Source organism: Homo sapiens, chromosome 8 (genome assembly GCF_000001405.40).
Source record: "Homo sapiens chromosome 8, GRCh38.p14 Primary Assembly".
NCBI lineage: Eukaryota > Metazoa > Chordata > Mammalia > Primates > Hominidae > Homo > Homo sapiens.
In genome coordinates, this window is record NC_000008.11 from 86,646,147 (window position 1) to 86,668,874 (window position 22,728).

General features: G+C 39.3%; 1 protein-coding gene and 2 pseudogenes across 2 annotated transcripts in view, besides 1 other annotated feature; all 3 read right to left on the reverse strand.

The window, feature by feature from the left end:
- Positions 1–22,728, reverse strand: part of CNGB3 (cyclic nucleotide gated channel subunit beta 3) — a 169,456-nt gene that overhangs the window by 71,968 nt on the left and 74,760 nt on the right. For both annotated transcript variants that reach the window (NM_019098.5, XM_011517138.3), the window contains 4 exons: positions 21,873–22,022; positions 20,779–20,987; positions 7,866–7,916; positions 1,655–1,741 (listed from right to left, as the gene is read on the reverse strand). In NM_019098.5, the coding sequence (NP_061971.3) occupies positions 1,655–1,741; positions 7,866–7,916; positions 20,779–20,987; positions 21,873–22,022 (497 nt within the window). The remainder of the gene's footprint in view (positions 1–1,654; positions 1,742–7,865; positions 7,917–20,778; positions 20,988–21,872; positions 22,023–22,728) is intronic.
- Positions 11,087–14,158, reverse strand: GOLGA2P1 (GOLGA2 pseudogene 1; annotated as a pseudogene).
- Positions 11,488–11,659: a silencer, noted in NCBI's record as "fragment chr8:87669862-87670033 (GRCh37/hg19 assembly coordinates)". NCBI's record gives its function as "represses an EF-1alpha promoter that drives an FKBP-Casp9 reporter gene in an ReSE screen in K562 erythroleukemia cells {active_cell/tissue: K562}" and the evidence as "EXISTENCE:reporter gene assay evidence [ECO:0000049][PMID:32094911]".
- Positions 14,220–18,680, reverse strand: UBE2Q2P10 (UBE2Q2 pseudogene 10; annotated as a pseudogene).

The following is a 22,728-nucleotide window of genomic DNA, read 5'->3' on the forward strand; positions in this document are numbered from 1 at the left end:
AATTGTTTATGTCCAAGCAGGTACCTTCTGAAATTTCCATGTGAGACTGAAAATTTGATAAGGGATGGCCTGACCACTAGATTGCTTGGAACATTATTGTGTTCCACCTCCATTTATTCTCACATTCCATGGTCAAACCAGAAGTCTCTAGAGTTGTCTCAGATGTTTGGAAATATGGGATAAAGAACCTCTGAAGTTTAAATATCAGAGCAGAGAAAAAAAAACCCTTTCAGCCTGAGGCCTACCCAGTCAATCTGATTATAATAAAGAATTTGGAGTTAGATAAATGTGATAGAGTTCAGACACTGCCCCTCATATGCAGTGTGTCTGGACAGATTTTTCCGCCATGCTAATTCTCATTTTCTTCGTCTCTAAAATGAAGTTGTTGGGAGGAATCAGTGAGATAATGAATATAAAGTTTTAGCAAAGTGTGTAGCCTCAAGTGTGTATTCAACAGACAGCTGCAACTATTATTGTCGTTGTTGTTGTCAGGATCTGCTGGTGTTACCAGGTTATGTTATCTTGTCTTCCCAAGATGCAAAATAGATAATTACCTACAATTTATAAAGTCTTTTGTGATCCCTTTAAGAAGGTTGTTTTTGGAAATATATTGTTGCTATTGTTAAAGATTTACATGAAATTTCAATTTCTGACTCTCCTCAAATTCTTTTTAGGTATCAAATGAAGCTATGAGTTATAAAGTATTTATGTCTTATAACCATTTTGAATAGGTAATACATTCACATAGTTCAAAAACAATATGAAATATATGCTTCCAACAGTCTCACTCTTACTCTTGCCCCTATCCGTCCTGATTTTCCTTCCTGCTTTCCCTTGCCATCTCAGGTAACCACTTTGATGAGTTTCTTTTTGTAGCTTTTCAGTGTTTATGTAAATACACAAAAATTGAATATTTTTCCTTTTCTGTTATACAGAAGGTAGTATTGTTCTATAAACTGTTCTGTAACTAGCTTTTTTACTTAGCAATTTATCTTGAAGTTTTTTCCATATCAGTACATAAAAAGCTTCCTCTTCTTTGTTTTAAAGCTACAAAATGTTCTACTATATAAATTATATAAATATATTTTGGTATATTTAACTAATTCCCTCTTGAGAAACATTTGAGTTATATTCAAGTATGTAAGTAAATGTGATGTGAAAGTATGTGCTCACATACTTGTGAAAGCATGTCTGTGATGTAAAAGTATGTTTACATTTTTTTTTAGAATTACAAAATTTAAGATGAGTAAGATAATTTAGGGTAATCTAACCTAACCCCTTAATTTTACATCCCATACACCATGCATTCAGCAACTGAAAAAGGACAAATAGAAAAAAACAAAAAGTATAAAATACTCATTTGTAATTATAGCTAAATTTAGAAATACAAAGCATCCCTATTTTAGATTATAAAAACATCTGTTATGAGATATGAAATAAAAACCAGGAGCAACTTTCACCAGTAGACATTTTTTTCTTCATTCATTAAAAAAAATTATAGCATTGATGAGGGCAGAAAGATGGAGAAGAGTTTGGGAAAAATTAAGAATATTGATCATTTTAAGATACTTTAAATTGTTTCAAGATTTCCATTATAGGGAAATAGAAATATTTCCATTATAAGGGAAAAGACAATTAAATATAGTTATCTTACCTTTAACATCCTATTTGCTCTAAACATTGGATTAAACCCAAAGAAGAGGTAGCAAATATCAAATGGTATTATTGATGCGACATCCAACTGTTGAAAGAACACATTCACAAATATGTTGTGTTTACATGCCTTTCTGGGAATGGATGGATTTACGCTGATGTCTGTAAAAGTTGACCAATCACAATATATTATTTGTTGTTTAATCCAAAACTGCTTTCAATTAACTATGCATGGGGCTTTTTAAGGCGTATTAGCACCATGAAAACTATTTTGTAGCCTTCTTCCAACATATTTCATTTCCACCTCCATGCATCTGATCTCTCCTTAGGCGTTGCATTTACTGGGATTTTTATTGAGCTGTCACATATACAATGGGCATAGTTGCTAATGTTAAAATACGTTTTAACAGTGTTTTTAACATGGGGCTCTTCGACTAAAAATCAAGTCCATTCTTGATTTTATTTGAAAGCATTGTACTTTCATTGTAGTGATATATTTTTATGTTTCAGCCAATTCTCCTGTGTTCACAGTTGATTATATTGTGGTTCATTTAGGCTCTTCAATGCTTTCTACTCTTGTCTACTTCGAACCATTTTGCTACCAATAAACTGCTTTAAAAGTATCTATCAGAGCCTGTGCAGGCTGAGAGAGGAGAGCAAAGAAATCAATAATGTTTGCAATTAATCAGCAGCTCTGATGGGAGAAGGTATTGAAAATATTATTATAGCTAAGAAATTTTCAAAAATTGTCATGTATTAAAATTATTTTGGCCTTCTGTTACCCTGGTCATTATGAAATGACAATGTCATACTTCATACTTTCTTGATGGCAACAACAATAAGAAATTCTTTTGTGTAAAATAATTATTCATTTTTATTAAATTTTACATGGTCTTAATAGGGTATATGAAAAACTTTAAGACATTTTAAGACAATTAAGAGCAGTTAAGAACATATTGTAAGGCCACACATATAAAATAGAGAGCTGAGGAAGTCCTAGACAGAGGAATCCAGCAAGAGAAAGAAATAAAGGGCATTCACATCAAAAAAGAGGAAATCAAAATATCACTGTTCGCTGATGATATGATCGTATCCTAGAAAACACAAAGACATCTCCAAAAGACTTCTAGATTTGATAAACAAATTCAATAAAGTCTCAGGTTGTGAAATCAATGTACACAAATCAGTAGCACTGCTATACACCAATACACATACAAAAATGACCAAGCTGAGAAGCAAATCAGGAACTCAATCCCTTTACAACAACTGTAAAACAACAACAATAACAAATCCCTAGGAATATACTTAACCAATGAGGTTAAAGATCTCTACAGAGGGAACTACAAAACACTGCTGAGAGAAATCACAGATGACACAAACAAATGGAAACACATCTCATGCTTATGGATTGGAAGGATCAATATTGTAAAAATGACGATACTGCCAAAAGCAATCTACAGATCCAATGCAATTCCCATCAAAATACCAACTTTTTTTTCACAGAATTAGAAAAAACAATTCTAAAATTCATATGGAACTGAAAAAGAGCCCTCACAGCCCAGGCAACCCTAAGCAAAAAGCACAAATCTGAAGGCATTACACTACCAGACTTATAGTTAGCAAAACAGCATGGTACTGGTATAAAAGTAGTACATAGACCAAAGGAACAGAATAGAGAACCCAGAAATAAAGTCAAATACTTATAGCCAACTGGTATTGAACAAAGCATACTAAAACATAAATTGGGGAAAGGACATCTTGTTTAATAAATGGTGCTGGGAAAACTGGCAAGCCACACGTGGAAGAGTGAAACTAGATCCCTATCTCTCACTTTATACAGAAATCAACTCAAGATAAATCAAAGACTTAAATCTAAGACCTGAAACCATAAAAATTGTTGAAGATAACCTTGGAAAAACTCTTCTGGACATTGGCCTAGGCAAAGAATTTATGACTAAAGCCCCAAAAGCAAATACAACAAAAATAAAAATAAATAAATGGGACCTGATTAAAAATGTTTCTTCATATAAAAAGAAATAATCATCAGAATAAACAGACAACTCACAGAATGGGAGGAAATATTTGCAAACTGTGCATCTGACAAAGGACTAGTATCCAGAATCTACAAGGAACTCAAACAAATCAGCAAGAAAAAAACAAATAATCTCTTCAGAAAGTTGGCAAATGCTATTAATAGATATTTTTCAAAAGAAGTTATACAAATGGCCAAAAAACATGAAAAAAATGCCCCCCCGCCCAAATTGCATCATATCATCAAACCTCGTTGATTTTACTCTACAGGTATTGATCTTTGTAACAAGTTAAGAAGTGTACAGAACAGTAATTAAAATAATGTATTTAAAATGAAAAAGCAGGCACACTGTTGACCTGTCTAGTGCTACTCTAAAACCTATAGTTTTCAGCTCAAATCATAATGATTTTTTTTACTTGCTTTCTATTCAATTGCTCAACTCCCCTCTCAACTCCTCTATGATTACAGTCATTAGTCATTAGCCATTTTAATATTAACACATTGGCACAGATTTCTGTAGATCAACCATCTGATCCAGCAATCCCACTACTGGGTATCTACCAAAAGGAAAAGAGTCATTATATGAAAAAGACACATGCACATATAGGTTTATTTCAGCCCAATTCATAATTGCAAAAAATATGGAACCAACCGATCTTTGTAACAAGATTTGTACAGAACAGTAATTAAAATAATGTATTAAAAATAAAAAAGCAGACACACTGTCTGCTTTTTAGTGACCTGTCTAGTCATTAAGGAAATGCAAATTAAAACCACAATGAGATGCCACCTTATTCCTGAAAGTGGCCATATTAAAAAGCCAAAAAACAATAGATGTTGGCATGGATGTGGTAAAAGGGGAGTGTGTATGCACTGCTGGTGGGAATGTAAATATGTAAAACTTCTATGGAAAACAGTATGGACATTCCTTAAACAACTAAAAGTAGATCTACCATTTGATCCAGCAATCCCACTACTGGCTATCTACCCAAAGGAAAAGAAGTCATTATATGAAAAAGACACACGCACATATAGGTTTATTTCAGCCCAATTCATAACTGCAAAAATATGGAACTAACCTAAGTGGCCATTGACCAATGAGTGGATAAAGAAAATTTGGCATATGTACACCATGGAATAATATTTAGACATAAAAAGGAATCAATGTCTTTTGCAGCAACTTGGATGGAGCTGGAGGCCATTATTCTAAGTGAAGTAACTCAGGAATGGAAAACCAAACACTATACGTTCTCACTTATAAGTGGGAGCTAAGCTCTGAGTATGCAAAGGCATACAGAGTGATATAATGGACTTTGAAGACCAGAAGGGGGGGTGTGTTTGGGGTGGGACAAAAAAACTGCATACTGGATACAATGTACACTACTCTGGTGATGGGTGCACTGAAATCTCATAATTTACCACTATATAATTCATCCATGTAACCAAAAACCACTTGTACCCCAAAAGCATAGAGTTGAGATAATTAATTGCCTAACAATTTCAAAGCCTGCCGATATTGAACAAGAATAGGGACTTCTGGTTTGAATTAACCAGATTAGCTATTATAAACAAATTACTTACTAAAAGTATTGGCTTAGAAATTGCATCATATCATCAAACCTCATTGATTTCACTGTAGAGGTATCGATCTTTGTAACAAGTTAAGTGTACAGAACGTAATTAAAATAATGTATTTAAAATAAAAAAGCAGATACACTGTTGACATAGTGCTACCCTAAAACTTACAGTTTTTGGCTTAAATCATAACGATCTTTTTGCTTGCTTTCTATTCAATTCCTCAACTCCCCTCTCAACTTCTCTAGGCAGACAGTCATTAATCATTGACCATTTTTGGCACAGATTTGTGTAGACAGAGATAATTTATTTCTCATTGAACTGTAGAAAATTGAATTGAAGTATTGACCAACACTAAACCCTGTGCAAGACAATTTGCAAAGCATGTTGGGGTTGAAATAGGAGTAAGATATTGTTTCTATTCACAAGAAGTTAACAAGCTAATAGTGAATGATCAGGTACAAAAATACAGTCATTTGTCACTTAACAACAGGGACATATTCTGAGAAATGCATTGTTAGGTGATTTCATCATGTGAATATCATAGCATGTACTTACATAAACCTAGATGTATTGCCTACTACACACGTAGGTGGTATGGTATAGACATACAAGCCTAGGCTTCTAGGCTACAGGCCTAGGAGCATGTTACTGTACAGCATGCTCTGTATATTACAGTATATTATTGTATGTTACTGTACAGCATGTTACTGTACTGAGTACTGTAGGGAATTGTAACACAATGGTAAATATCTTTGCATCTAAACACATCTAAACATTGAAAAGGTACAGTTAAAAATATGATACGAAAGATAAAAAATGGTACACCTGTATAGGATACTTACCATGAATGGAGCTTGCAGGACTGGAACTTGCTCTGGGTGAGTCAATGAGCGAGTAGTGAGTGACTGAAGGCCTAGGACATTACTGTACACTACTGTAGACTTTATAAACACTGTAGAGTTAGGCTACACTAAATTTATTTAACAATTTTTTCTTTAATAATAAAGTAAACCTAGCTCACTGTAACTATTTTACTTTATAAGCTTTTGAATTTTTAAAAACTTTTTTACTCTTTTGTAATAACACTTAGCTTAAAACACTCATTGTGCAGCTATACAAAAGTATTTTCATTATATATGTATTATATAAGCTTTTTTCTATTTTAAAATGTTTTTATTTTTACTTTTAAGCTTTTTTGTTAAAAACCAAGACACAAGCACACAAATTAGCCTAGGCTTACACAGGGTCAGGATCATCAATATCACTGTCTTCCACATCCACATCTTGCCCCACTGGAAGGTCTTCAGGCTCCATAACATGGGTGGAGCTGTCATTTCCTATAATAACAATGCCTTCTTCTGGAATGCCTCCTGAAAGATTTGCCTGAGGCTGTTTTACAATTAACTTTTAAAAAAATTCATAGGAGTACATTCCGAAATAACAATAAAGAGTACAGGATAGTAAATACATAAGCTAGTAATATAGTTGTTTATTGCCATTATCCCCAATATTATGTACCATACATATTAGTATGTACTATACTTTTATATGACTGGCAGCCCAGTAGGTTTGTTTACACCAGCATCACTGCAAACAGGTGAATAACACATTGCACTGTAATGTTATGATGGCTGTGATGTCACTAGGCAATAGGGATTTTTCGGCTCCCTTATAATCTTATGGGACCATCACCATATATGTGGTCTGTCATTGACTGAAATGCCATTATGCTAACACATATTAAATATATAAATTAATTTAGTCCTTATTCAAACTCAGGAAAGTAAGAGTTTGGAATAAGCTTTATGGCATTACAAAAGTATTTATCCTCTTTGTAGAATTCATCAAAGCAGCATAGAGATCTTTTATGAATATGCCTAAGTATGTGGCAATATTTAATAAAGAAAATTAGTCGGAGATTAAAAAAAAAACAATTGAAAGGGATGTAATCATTGTAGATTTCCAACAAGGATAGTCTGAGACCTAAACCCAGATTTGTATTTTTAAACAAACTCTGAGGCCACTAAAGAATTGTCTTTGAAGTGAGAGGCTAGAGTTCACTCCAATTGGGTAAACCTAAATAACCCCTGACCTCTGCCTATTTCTCAGAGAACAAAGTACTTAGAAAATAATTATGGGCAATAAAACGTTATGTTTTAGGAAAGGAACGTTCCATGTTATCTAAACAATTGCTTCTCTTCTATTAATAATTTTTATTTTGAATATATGAGAACAAGAAAGAAGCGGGAGTAAAAACAATTTTGCAAACCTTTACAACATCATGCTACATTAATTGGGGGCTAGAATTTTGTAGACAAGACAAAGTATACAACCCATATTCCTTTACTGATGTGTAAATTAGAATTCAAATCTGGGCACTAACTTATTTTGGTCTGCTTAATAAGGGCTTATATGTTGAATTACCCACTTGCACATACAAGGAAACATATCAGGTAATTATTGAGAGGCAGAAACTTCAGGCTTATCATTGTCTAATAAAACTTCGTATGTACAAACTTTGTTTATAGAAATCTATAGATGGGATTTAAAGTCAAAATGGTAATAGATCACGTGAGCAACTTTGAAATTGTTTGTCACCTACCTGAAATTTTGTAGAAGTCCTGTAGTGTTTCCTTAGCTCATTTGAATCCACCTGAAAGATATTTGTATTTTCATTAATTTTAGCCAATTTCATCAATTATTTTTTTCTCACTTTTAAATTTATAACTGTTTCTCTTGGTTGGTTCCTTCCAATCTCAGCCAATAAACATCCTCCATATTCCCAGGTATTAAAACAAAAAATGTTTGGCTTTAGTTTTCTTCTTACTATTGCCCTATTGTTTGCCACAATCAAGCTTCTCAAGAGAGTTGCCTACCTGCTTTACTCTATATCCTTCCCTCACATTCATCCTTAACTCATGGCAATTTGGTGGCAATTTGGCTTCTTCCTGCTTCTCTCATTGCATCAAGGCTAACAGTGCAAAGGTCACCAATGATCTCCTAATGATCATGCCCAGGATATCCTTTATGGCACTTAGCATCCTGTTATGGCATTCATCATGATTTGAAATGACACGTATACTGCTTGGCTCATTTACTTAAAATTAGTCTACTCCATTAAACGGTAATCTATCTGAGGACAGGTTTGATTTTGTTTAGCAACTAAATTTAACTAGTGCCTAGAATATACTAAAAGCCCAATAAATATTTATTAACTGAATGAATAAAGAAATGGAGAGATGAATAAAACCTCTGAAGCATTAAAAATTTTTTGGACAATTTTTTTCCATGAAACTTTTTCTTTTCAAAGAATCTGTAATCCCACTCTTAGTTTACTTATATCTTCACTTCCTACTTTTCAGTTTTCTTGGATTCTTGGGCTAGTCATTTAAAAGTCAACATTCCCCAGGATTTAGCTCTCTTCTCTTTTCTCATCATACTTGCTTCCTGGGAAATCTCACCCACATTTATAGTTTCAGAGATTACCGTGCGGGTTGATGCTACCAAATCTCTACTTCCACTAATATCACTTTCTTGAGCTGTTGATGGGTAAGCAACTGCCCATTGTCCTCTTCACTTAGCAGATCCACTGCACCAAACCTGAATTCATCATCATTCTTCATTCTCCTTGAGCCAAACTGCTGCTCCTCCTGCTTCCGAGTATCCTATGAGCAATCTCATCTACACTGCTTAGTGGTCCTACACTGCACATTCTCCCTCAGCCCTGATACAACCAATAGCCAAGTTCTACTCATTCTTCCTAAAATTTTCTCATGGCCATTCTCTGCTTTCTGGCACTGCTGTCTCTGCCTTTAGTCTTGTTCCCCTTGATCCATTCTACAGTGGCCGCCAGATGATCTCTAAATCAGATCACTTAAAATCCTCATTTATGTCAAATCCTGCAACTCCACATGATTTTAAGGAAAAAAGTGCAAGCACCTTTTCAGGGTATACAAAGCTCTACTTTCTGTTTTCCACTCACTTCCCGGAGCATCCCAGAAACAGAACCCACTCTGTTCAGCATTTCCTCAAATGCGTCAGAGGGATGCCTTTGCCCATGCTGTCCCAGAGCTCAGAACATGTTTTTCTTTTTTTCTTGTGGAGGAAAAAGGTGCAGGTAACTCCAACTCATCCATCAAGATTTGGACTAAGGGTCTTCTCTGTCAGATGGTTTTCTCTGAGCCTTATAGCACCCTGGGCATGCCTTTTCATGACTCACAACATAAAATCCCACCATTTTTCTTTTGTTGGTCTGTCCTAGACATTCTGAGCTATGTAAGACAGTAGGGTCCAATCTTTGTCCTCTATTTCCTCAGTTCCTAACACAGTGTCTAACACACAGTAGGTGTTCAATAAATGTGTGACGAGTGATAGATGACTAGAGTGGCATTTGTTAATATTCAGACCTAAAATAATTAATTTGAATATTGGACTTTTATGTTTCACTTATATGTAGTAAAGGATTTTCTAAGGGCTCTTAATTAGTTGACCAAAGCATTATAACTTGGACACATGGAAGTAGCGTCTTCTAACAATTATCATTCAGGCTGTCTGGAAGTTTTAAACTGCTGCTTGATCAATGTTAAAGATTGGTTAGTCAACTCCCTAGTTACTCCCCACACTACTGACTTTTTTGGCTATAATTTTTACTCATATACATGTACTAAATTTTACAGAAATATATTAGAAAATATATGACATGCTCATTTAATGATTTTTACTGTGAAACAAAATGGCTTACTGAGCCATGGGTAGACATAGATACGGCTTCAAATAAATAGTGTTATAAATCATGTACCACAAGAGTAAAATCAGTCACTTCCCTCAAAGTTTATATGGGACAGCCAGATAGATATCAAGTGCTAGACAGTTAAGTTAAAATACTACCTCCACCCTGCACTCAGGAAGAATGTTCTTAGCATATTTGTCTGTTTACTTTCAAGGTTGTCTATGATTCTATGATTGAATAAATGTAAATGCAACTAAAACTTGCTAGATTAAATGAAATGTGATTTAGTGATTTTAAAATCTATCTTCTTTAGAGCAGTAAATAAACTTGGCATCATTAGCCTTATGAGGATCAGCATGCTTACCGGTAACAATTAGGTACTTATTTTTAAAATGTCACCCCACTTAATTATCTCTCCCTCTTTTAAGCCTCATGATTATACCAGTGACATTTCTTCAGGGGAGGCTTACTTTAGGAAGGATATGCTAATTGCACCTAAATCCTTTTCCAATAGATAGCTTTTGAAGAAGATCTACTCAGGTGTTAGTATATTTACTTAGTATTTACCTCTTCTTTCTGCTCCCACCCCCCCAACCAAAATGGCTAAATCCATTTATTCCAAAAGAAAAAGCAAAATAAACAGAAGTTGCATCACCAGGGCACCATGACCCCATCCTTGCCTCCTTTCTCTGTCCCGTACTATCAATAAAGAAGTTTCCCAGTCCCAAATAATTACTAGAACCTCCTCCCCATGTACCAGCTTCAACCTCCTCTATGTATGATACAGGGGGTGGCCCTACCCTGGAATATACAAAATTTTACACAGATAGAATATGTACACTGGGGAAGGGGAGCCACCCCCAGCAGCCTGTTCTCTTGCCTGGTCTACATTTAGCCCCATTGTCCTGCCTCAGCTGCCTCTCTGAGTAAGAAGATGGGAGCCCCCGTGAAGGAAAAGTTGCTTAGTGAGTCAGGCCATCAGGGAGGCCACCAGGCCTCCTGCAAATAAATCAACCCTATGAGCCTCTGGCTCTTAAATAACAACATAATCATCCAGAAATTAAGGACTCAGCCCTGGCCAAGGTGGCAAAGGGTCTGCACTTGTTTGTCTCCCCCCATCACACAGGGGTCTTACCTTGCTCCTCTAAGGATAATGGGGTGACTGGGAAGGGGTGGTAAGGACCTGGTGGGGATGGAGCCTCTGGCCCCACTTCTCCAAGCTTTGCTGACAGTGGCCGGCTTTTAGATGATGGTGATCTTCACCTCATTTCTTGTCAGCATGATAGAAAAATGGAATGCAGGGGTTGCTGCCCAAGCCTGGGTGCTCCTGGGGGTTCTGCATCTCAGGAAGCAGTTGCATAATCTGCTGTGCAGTGGGATTGTCATGGGGAGAACCCTCCCTGGCCTCTTCTTGTGCAGGCTCCATGCTGTGGGCGAGGCTCATCTTGCAAAGATCACCCTGTTTGTTGGCAGCCCCGAGCTCCTGTGGGAGCTGGGGCACCTGGAGCGGGCTAATCAACAGGGTTCTTGGCAGCTGCCAGGAATTTGCCATGCCACTTGTTGTGGTTGCCCACAAGCCGCAACACCAGCTCCTGCAGCTCCTGCAGCTCCAGCAGCTCCAGCAGCTTCACCTTCATCTCCTCCTTGTCCTGGGCCAGGCTGCTGATGTATTCCTTCTGGTGCCACGTCTTCAGCACTGACCTCTAGCTCTGGTACAGTGTGATGTACTTTCCTGCGGGAGGACAGGGTTCAGACGCTGGGACCCCTCTGACCACCGTGCAGCTCCCCCTGCCATGCCCTGGCCTCCCCCTCACTGATGACGTCTGTCTCTCCAGACAGCTGGATGCAGCGACGTTCCAGTTTTTCCATCTGCTCCTTCAGGTCCACCTTCTCCTGCATGAGCTCCATAAAGTGGCTCTGCAGCTTCTCCATGGCCCCCTGCAGGGCCGGGTGGGCCTCCCCACACACAGAATCGCCTCCAGTCCCTGGGACTAGGGCTGCTGCCTCTGGCTCCTTCTGGACTGAGGCCACCAGGTGAGCCAGACACTGACAGCCTGACAGCTCACCCTTTGCTCCTTCAGCTGCCCACGTGGCCATGCCTGCTCCTCCTCGGCACTGGCCACAGCTGAGTTTAAAAATGCCACCATGGCCTCCCGACTCTCCAGTTCCTCCGGGATGCTTGGCATGAGCGGAAGCGCCTCCTCCTCACTGTCCAGTCCATCTCCTTCCCCATGGAGAGCCATGAGGGTCAGCTGGGCCTGTGGCTGCTACTTCTGCTGGCTGGTAGCTTCCAGGTGCTCCTGGGTCTCCTGCAACCCTTGGCAGGCCATCTTGGCCACGACTTTGCCCTGAGCTTCCTCCTGCTGCAGCTGGTCTATGAGCTGGGTCTGCAGCAGTAACTGCTTGTGGAGCTCCTTCTCATAGGGCACCTGCTGATAGGTGGCCACATACTGCTGCAGGTGACCCAGGTACTGATCTCACTACTGCTGTAGACTCTGAGCCTCTTGGCTCTTCAGCTCTACCATCTCCTTCAGCTCACCCAGCTTCTCGCTCGGCTCTTTCTTGATGTGCTGCTCCGACTGTGGTGTGCTGGTGATCTCCATGTTCTCATTGTTCAGCTTCATGAAGCCAGTCTGCAACTTGGCCAGCTGCTCTTTGAGCTCACCATTCTGGAAGACTGCATGACTGATGGTGGTGAGGTCATTCTGCATGGTCTCCAGGGTTTGCCTGTGCACCTCCACCTGCTCCTCCCAGAGCTCAGCCTTCTGCTCTAGCTCCAGCAGCCTCTCCTCCTGCTCTCGGTTCAGGAGACTCAAGCCCTCATTGTCTTGCACCTGGGCTTGGAGCTGTCCTGCCAGACCCTCCAGCTCCTTCCGCAGGTGCTCGGCCTCCACTTATAGCTGCTGCTCCACCTCAGAGGGCCCTGCTGGGGGCTCCAGGAGCAGGGGTTCAGCGATCTGTTCCCTCAGTTTGGCCAAGCTGGTCTCCAGCTCCTGTACCCGAGTCATGCTGTGCTCCTTCTCCTCCCTCAATGTGTGCACCTGCTCTGACATCGGCTGCATCCTCTGCTACCGCATGGCCCTCCCTCCTTTCAGATTTTCAGTATATTGGTCTTTCTCCATCTGTAGCTGTTTCAGCAACTCCATAACCTGCCCCAGGTGTGCTTCCAGCTGTGCCTGCTCCTCCATGGCCTGCTGTAACTGCTGGTTAGCATCAGGGGGTTCACACTGGCTTGAGGACTATTGAAGCAGGAGCTTGGCCTCTCCAGCTTCTTTTGCAGATCCTCCAAGTTGAGCTGGATTCCTGACTTCTCTGTCACTAGGACTCAAATTTCTCTTCTAATTCTGAGTTCTGTGGCTTCAGATCCTCATATAACTCCAGCCTGAGGGCATCTCTCTCCTTGGTTAACTCTTTGTTGTATTTGTGTCTTCTTCTGCTATGTAGAGACAGCAGAGAGAGCCCACTCCAACTCTCCCACACGCGCCAGGAATACTGCAGGCAGCTGGCCAGATCCTTTGACTCTCCTTCAAACTGCCTGGCAGCATGCTGAGTGTAATACAGAGCTGTCCATAACTCTGCCTTCTCGGACATGAGGATCCCTATGGTCTGAATTTGAACCTGTAACCACTCCCTTTGGCTCCCTGCTTTCAGTTGCTTGCTTTCTTTTCTTCTTCCAGTTGATCCAGAATTTCTTGGTTTTGTTGTTTCTCCAGATCCTTCAGGTTAGCAGATGATGCAGGGCCCTCCCCATTGACAAAGGATGTAGACTCAGAGGCAAGACAATTGAGCTGTTGAAGAGTTGTCCTGGGCTCTTGATCAATGAGAAAGTCTTGGTTTCATCCATGAGATTGGGACCAATGTCAGCATCATGATTCTGAGGTGCCGCCATGCTAGTGAGACTGGCACCAGGGGAAGAGACACCACCAGCTAACATGGTGTCATGAGCAGACAGTTGTAGAGGAGAAAGCATGGTCTTTGCACATATCCTCAGGTGAATGGCAACCACCAGAAGTGGTTGTCTCAGGATTGCTGCCATTTTTCATTTTCTCCTTTTTTGCTCTTGTACCTACACCAGAGTTGTTTGTATGCTGATATTCTCTCAATGTTTTCTTGGCCACAGCCAATTTGCTCTGTAGGGTTTCTTCAGACATCACAGGCAGGGTGGGAGGTGGGGTTGGGGCCATATCAGCACGATCCTGGCAACCACTGCTAAACACATCCAGTCATCTACCGGGCAGATGTGCAACTGATCCAGAGGAGAGTTAACCAGGGCCACACTAGAACTCAGAATAGGGTGTGGTCTCAATGCTCCAAGCCCATTGGTCAATGAGAAAGATGAAAGGGAAAGGAAGCATGGCCAGGTGGCAGCATGTCCAGAGGGACGATTTTTCTCATGCATCTGTACAATGGAATTATAGGATTGTTGGGCTCTTGCTAGATTATATTGATTCTTATTAGCTCCAAACTGCACTCTGGCTTTGCCTCTGACTAAGATGGCATTTATTTGCATAATGACCAATTCTTTTGTGTAGGCACAGCTACAGCCCTGTTTTGTGAGAAGTTCCATACACAGTGCTCCCCCATCCAATACATATCCTCCTGAGAGAACAGGTAACACCACTCAAACAAATGGAGGATAAAATGGAAAATTGTCCTGCTACCCTCCAAAGTCTATGAATACCAATACTAATAACTTGGCAATTCAGTTTAAGGTCCTCTTCATAAGGCCAGTTAGCTCAAGGCAATAACATTCTTCCCAGGCCTCTTAAGAAATACTCCTACCCCAGAAAAGGCCCTTCTTTCTGGTGTTAGGAGCCATGGTCCAGAAACACAAATCCAGTAGCATTTCAGCCATTTACCTCTCAGATCGCCTCCTCCCTAAAGTTCTACTTTCCTGGGTTTTTTTGTGTTTTGTGTTTGGCCTTGGTTCTTCATTCGTTCCCCCATATGAGTCAGTAAAAATGTAGCCATTAGCAACTTCAGTTAATATATAACAGATTCATACTTTAGGACGACAACCCAGTTGACAACCACAACAGTTTCTTAAAAGACATGTTAAACAAAATATATTCTATGCTTTCTTTTTCTTTTTTGATCTGAAGATCATTGTGCAAAAGACTATCAGGGTCGACCTTCTGCAGTTTAACATGCCAGTCATGTACTGTCATTTACGAGTTCCACTGAATAAATCCTTTTCAAGCAATATTGCTTTGCTTTTGCCAGAAGATAAAAATCATGTAAGAGTTAATTCTCTATCAGGAAGAGGACAAAAAAATTCCAGCAGACCTGTTTTATGTTTTATAACTCCATGATCTGCATACGTCCCTGAGCTCTTTCATAAGTCCATCTGAAACTTGCACTGACCCAAACACCACATCACATTTAAATGGCCTTGACTTTGAGTCTTCCTAATTTTCTCTAATGTTGCCAAATTTTCTTTTTCAATTCCTTCATCCTCCAACTTTTTCCCACTAATAAGTTCTTCTTTCTTCATCTTACAGTGATTTAAGTATTTTATATCTCCAGCCATCTCTTCTTCCTCTTCTTCTGAAGTCACTTCTATTTTCCCATTCTGACCCATGGGTAGTGGTTGATCTAGCATCTCAAACATCCAGGTGCTTAGGAAGGTTATATAATCTGCAGAGTTCACATATCAACCACTTCAATTGCTGACGAAGGTAATTGTTGTTCTCAGTATCTTCTGGACGTTCCAGAACTGATGTCAGATTTGGGTCATCACAGTCCACAAACCATATTGGTGAAAAAGATGGATAGGATTCTTGGAATCTCTAGGCACGAGAAGAGGCTCAACCCATCATGGAACAGTCCTGGCCTCCGTGGTGTCTTGTCCACAGGAGATTCGGCAATGTGTAAATATTCAGGAGACTGGCCCAGGTGCAGGGCTGCGAGGGTGCGCTGCTGTCCCCGTGCCGCCGCCGCCAACTCAGTCCGCAAAGCTGAGCATGGGGCGCCACTGCAGCTCTTTGTGAGCCTGCGCCAAGCCGCACACCGCAACCCGTATTCACTCCTTCTGATAAACAATTCACAGAAACTTCATAATTTTACACAGGACAGATGGAAGAAGTATTTTAAAATAATATTACCTGAAACAATTATAATGCAGATTAAATAATTATTCAAAGAAATAAAATCCTCGAACTGAGATTATCATTCATTCACTCCTTCAAACATTTCTTGAGTATACTCTAAGTTCCTAGGGTAGATAAATAAGTGAATCGAATACTGTCCCTACTCTCAAGAAACTTATCCTCAGGTAAGAAAGAGAGATACATAGACAAATAGGAGACAAGAGGGAAAAGTGAAGTGTGTGGACAACCATTCATTTAATTCATTTGACAATCAATTGTGTATTTTCTATATGCCAGACCCTGAGCTAGGTGTCTTATTCAATCTTCATAATAGGTTTATGAGGTGGGTACTGCGATAGCCAGGTGGGAGGGGGTTGCTGGAGAAACTCCAACCAGCCTGCCCACTGAGGTGGAGCCTTGGAAAGTTTGCTACATTTGCAGTAGGGAGGAGCCTGGTCCCTCCTCTTCCTGTGTGGAACCTGGAATTCGAACAGTGGGCACAAGCACTCTAGCAGGGGGCTCTGACCTTGTGGAGGATCCCTGTTTCCCCCCTTTTTAAACCTTTTCACACAATAAAGCCCTGCTTCAGTCACCCTTCAAACCGTCTCCGAGCCTAAATTTTCATGGCCATGGGAGAGCCAAGGACCCTGTCTTTAGCTGAACTAAGGAAAAGTCCTGCAACAGTACGACTATTCCCATTTTGGGGGATGAAAAAGATTGTATTCAATAAAAGGGTAAGTTTAGTTTCTTCAAGTTAATGCTATTAGCAAATTTCAGAAGTGAAATTTGACCCCAGACTGTTGGTTTCTACTACTTCATAATTAGCCTAATCGATATTTAACACAATTAAATAACAGAATTATGAGTAAAGTGTAGGAAACACAGAGAAGGGAGTGGTTTTCTTCAGATTGGTTTATAAAGAGCAATTGAGAGGATTAAGTACCAAAAGCAGTTGATTATAAAGGAAGGCCTAATTGACATTGTAACTAGATGACACTGAGGATTTCTGTGAATTTTGTGATTGGTAGGTTTAGCAAAGGGCTGTGCATGTGAGTGTCTCTTATCTAAATAATCTTCACTGTCATTTCCAACTCAATTTCTGCTATCTATAAAGGAAATTACATACAAGAGACTTTTTGTTTGACTGCGTTTCAAAATTCTGTTATCTTTGTAGCACCACTTTTAGGAGCAAGATTTTATAAATAAATGCTGTGAAAAACTTGTAAGGCCTCCTGGTTTCTATTGTAGCTGTTAGCACCTCAATCTGTTGTCTGTTACTTGCTTATTTTCCTTCAAGGCCTTGGGGAATTCATATTTCCATCCTCCAGTTATGGTGCATTTATTTAATAAATTAAGTAGATGTATCTACCTAGCAACTGTAAGTATTTAATAAATGTCTCTTGAATGAATGATTCAGTGGTGTTACCAATGGTAGCATGGATAGCTAAATATGAGACCTTCAGGTTGGGTACTCAATGTGCATAGTCTTCTTACCAAAATGTAATCAAGTTTCAAAGGCTGCAGCTACTTACTCTAAATTAAAGAAACCATTAAACTTCTTTTGAACAAACAAAGCAATTATTTCCTGCTCTATATTTGTAGCTTATGATAATGCATTTTAAATAGAGCCTGTTGAGTGTGTTTTTTACCGGTTATTTTTCTTGGTTTTAACACTTCATTGTGTGCAAAAGCCTCTTAGAAAATTGAAAATAAAAGTCTCCCTTTACTGATTTTGTCATTTTCCATTTGTCAAACATTGATTTTCTCCCCCCTTGTGAGTCTAATGGAGGTTGAAATTAGTGTTCCTTTTGTTGTTGTTTACTTCTTATTTGTACACCGTCATCACCATTCATCAAGCTGCCAGGTTGCTCTGGGGATGGTGCTGGTGATTTAACTAATGCTATAAAGTCTGCACAAGGAATTTTTTGAATAGACTTTTGGCATAGCTTTGGCTTTTGCCTTTAGTATTTCTTTCTAGGAAAGATTTCAAATATAGAAAACACTTCCCAGAAAATGACAATTATTTTAAGGAAGAAAAAAATATTCAAAGCTATTCCTTTCAGCTTTTTGATAATTTAAGACCTTCTGAAGATTCAACAGAAAATATTAAGGAGATTAAGCGACCTAACTGTCTTCTTCAAAATTCTACATGGACCTAAGATGCCATATAGGCAGTCAGTCTGCTCTTCCTATTGTGATATTGGAGGACATGTTCTGTGCAGCCCTTGCTGAGCCTTGGGAGGAGGATGGCACATTGGCCACAGTTGGAAAGGTAGCTTCCTTCTAGTTAGCTGGGGAAGGGGCTTGGGGTAGTGGTTATAAGACTTGGGTTTGTGCTTGTGAAAACACATTTTTCTGTTTCTTAGATTGATTGGATTGACAATAAACTTCCCTCAACACTGAGAATAAATCCAGGAGAAGATAATTTCTCCTAAGGGTAAGAATGCTAATTTCTTAGGAAGGGCACTGCATTTGATCATGAGAAATAGGATGTGATGAATTTGGCAAGTAAAGAATAAAAAGATAGACCTGTAGATGCCATATTCATTAAAAAACAAAACACCAGTGGAGGTGTTCTACGTACTTGTGATTTGCCCATATCTGTGAGGGGTGTGGCTACCTCTCTGTGGTTTGGCTGTATTGATGGAGATATGGATGGCTCATTGCTCTTTCATTCTCTTACCACACTGAATAATAGTATATTTTGCAATGGTGGAAATCTTCTGTGCTGTCCACCAGACACATGGTTGTTGAGTTCTGAGAATATGAACAATGTGGCTGAGAAACCTGAATGTTTAATGGTATTTAATTGTAACTAATTCAAATTTAAATTTGAATGGACATATTTGCCTAGCGGTCACCATATTGGACAGTGCGGTGAATCTATATTGATTAAAATGGTCATGACCATATAATAGCCAAAAAACAAGTGAAAAAATGCTCCACATCACTAATCATCAGAGGAATGCAAATCAAAACCACAATGAGATACCATCTCATACAAGTCAGAATGGCTATTACTAAAAAGTCAAAAAACAGCTGATGCTGGCAAAGGCTGCAGAGAAAAGGGAGCACTTATAAACTGTTGGTAGGAGGGTAAATTAGTTCAGCCACTGTGGAAATCAACTTGGAGATTTCTCAAAAAACTTAAAACAGACCTACCATTTGACCCAGCAATCCCATTACTGGGTATATATCCAAAAGAAGACAAATCTTTCTAACAAAAAGACACATGCACCTGCATGTTCATCGCAGCATTATTCACAATAGCAAAGACATGAAATCATTCTAAGTACCCACTAACAGTGGGACTGAATAAAGAGAATGTGGCACATATACACCATGGAACGAGATCATGTCCTTTGCAGGAACATGGATGCAGCTGGAGGCCCTTATCTTAAGCAAATTAATGCAGGAACAGAAAAACAAATACAGCATGTTTTCACTTATAAGTGAAACATTGGATACTTATGGACATAAAGATCAGAACAATAGAAACTGGGGATGACTAGAGGGAGGAGGAATGCAGGGAGGAAGTGGGGGAGGGCAGAAAACCTAATTATTGGGTACTATGTCCAGTACCTGGGCCAATCGTACCCCAAACCTCAGCATCACCCAAGATACCCAGGTAACAAACCTGTATGTGTATCTCCTGAATATAAAATAAAAATTGGGGAAAAAAAAGGGTCATGAAAGCTTTGCTTTGTAAGTTAGGTTTTCCCAAAGTGTCCAGGCCTAAAACCCTGTGCTTGATTTCTCTACTACATGGAGGCACTTCACTTGGTTCCTACTACACAAAGATAAACAAGGCACAGTCCGTGTCCTAAAATATTACAGCCTAGTACTTTCTCACAACACCAGGCTGTCTCCTAAGAAGGTTGAGTAGGTTCTAATGAGTGAAATAATACCTATCTTATTTTTAAAAGTATTGAAGTGAACGGTAGACTGTAATGTGATAGAAAACAACTGCTTCACAGACTGTTTGAGGCTTGATTACCAGAGGACTATATATTAAATGGTTTCTTCTTTTGGTATTGATAATTGATCTATTTAAAAAACATTATTTAGGTAAAATATGTGGATAGTTTCAACATTTCAGACTTGGCACTCTCTTTGTAGGCTCAAGTATTGTCAAATTCTGAAACACTTGCTAACCTGAACCTGCGTGATTGTAGAGGCAAGGCCTGGGTTAGGATCCTGGCTCAGCTACTATCCAGCTTTGGGCTTTGAGCAAATAACCTCCCTCTCTAAACCTCAGTTTCCTCATTTGTAAATGGGGCTAATTACATCTTTTTCATAGTGTCATTGAAAGGATTAAGGGAAGTATTATAAATAAGTTAACTAGAACAATAATGCTAGCTGACATTTAATACTCATTCACTAGGCACCAGACACAATCTAGGCACTTCACAGGCCTCAACTTATTTAATCTTTCCATCAATATTATGATGGTGTTTTTGTTATTTTCACTTTAAATATGAGGAAACTAAGGTACAGGGAGATGCATGTTCTCCAGCACATTGTGAACACTCAATGGCTGTTTTATAATTGTTTTCTTGTTATTATTGCTCATGACTTCTTGCAATTATCCATGCAGATAGCCAGTCAAACATTAAATAAAACAATGCTGTTACTTTTTGTAGCCCAATTAGATGTTATTCACGTTTCAGTTTCTGCCTTTCCCGAACCCCACTTACTATTATGTCTCCTCCTCTTACAAACTGGAGTCTGGGCTGGATAAATAGCATATCATAAAGGTAGATGATATCACATATGATGTCCGCAATAAGCCAGTAGTGTATGTTGTCTGCGGTTTGATATGGGAAGACGAGGCGCAGTGGTATAAAACAGCAGTTCCAGTTATAGGCAAGAGTGACAAGCAAGAGCCACAGGAGATAGAGTCGATCTGGAAAAACAGCAAGTGGTGAAATCCAAATGACATAGAACAAACACAGAAAGAATTCTGTTGCTTAGTTTGGGGAGGTTGGGGCACTACCCTCTACAGAGTAATTTGCCATAGGAGGCTCTATTAAACATTCAACACCATTCTGCCTCTGGACTGTGAGGCTCCGGGCTTTACAAGAGATGTTAAATGATCTTATCACCTCTTCCGAAAGTGGAGAGTTTCCTTCCAGTCTCCTTAAGAAGTGGCCCCTCTGAGTCTGTCCACACAGGTAGCTGTACTATTTGGATCAGGCAACGAGAATTTCAAGAAAAGTTGGAAGGACTTTGCACAGACATCACTGCAGCCACAGATCTTTAGTTCCTCAGTAGTTAAGTTGCAGGATTGATTGCCCAGGGCAGGTGGCAGAAAGGCCACATCCTGCCAGAAGGAGTATGGCACTGAATGGGAGGGCAGAGGGTCAGCCCATTAAAGTAGTCCATGTCCCTTCACACATAGCCCTTCTCTGCCTCTGGGAGGCTGCAGGAAAGGATTTGTTCAATTAGAATAATCAACAATGTGAAGCCATGGAAGAAGACTGACACTTTATAATGATGTGTGAGTGTGTCAGTGCACATATTGCGGAGTGCTTTGGGCCTTCTTTTCAAAGGTAATTAGGGGCAGGAGAGGATCTGGACTGCCTTTTAAATATAGGCAGGAATATTGTATTTCTTGTCTTCACCAAAGATGGGCAAATGATCCTTTGCAGGTTATTTAATTTAAATTCTGCTTCCTAGTTAGATTGAGAATATGAAGTAAGGAAAATAGAAGCTATCTGTGACTTTGAGTCACAGGGTTTCTTGGTGATAGCCAGCCCTCCCACTATGATAATTCACCCTTTGATAATACCTGTGTATGAATCTATGCTGTTTGGAAGTTTAATTCGCTTTAAGTACTCTGTTAAAGGCATCTTTTTGACTTTGAACCACAACAGCCTGTAGTAATGTTCTGTTGGCTTATCATCGCTTTCTTTTACTGGTGGTACAGCCGTGGGCTTTGCTTCATAGGGAAAAAAAAAAAGATGAAACATTTGAAGAGGTTAAGTTAGTTTAGTTAAAAACTTGAATTTCTTAACCAAACACCGCATGTTCTCACTCATAAGTGGGAGTTGAACAATGAGAACATATGGGCACAGGGAGGGGAACATCACACACTGGGGTCTATCGGGGGGTGGGGGACAAGGGGAGGGATAACATTAGGAAAAATACCTAATGTAGATGATGGGATGATGGGTGCAGCAAACCACCATAGCCCATGTATACCTATGTAACAAACCTGCATGTTCTGCACATGTATCCCAGAACTTAAAGTATAAAAAAATCCAAAAAACTTGAATTTCTTAAAGTCGGAACGTTTATGAATCTTCCTCTTTTGATACAGACAGATGAAACAAAACCTTCATGACATTTAAAATAGTGACATTTATTTCACTGTGTGTGTGTTTGTATAAAGAAAAAATACGTCAATGTAAAAAATTAAAGGAAAAACAATTTTTAAAATAAATAAATGTTAATAAATTTTTACAAAAAAAAAAAAAGAACAGGAAAAACTACTAAATGATGACAAAATTCAGGATAGTGTTTACCTTGGCAAGGGGGCTTTGTCACCTGGGTAGACCGGAAGTTTTCTCTAGTGAGGGAAATGTCCTTTATCTTGGAGGGTGGTGATGGTGATGCAACAAGACTATTCATGTGTAAAAATTATC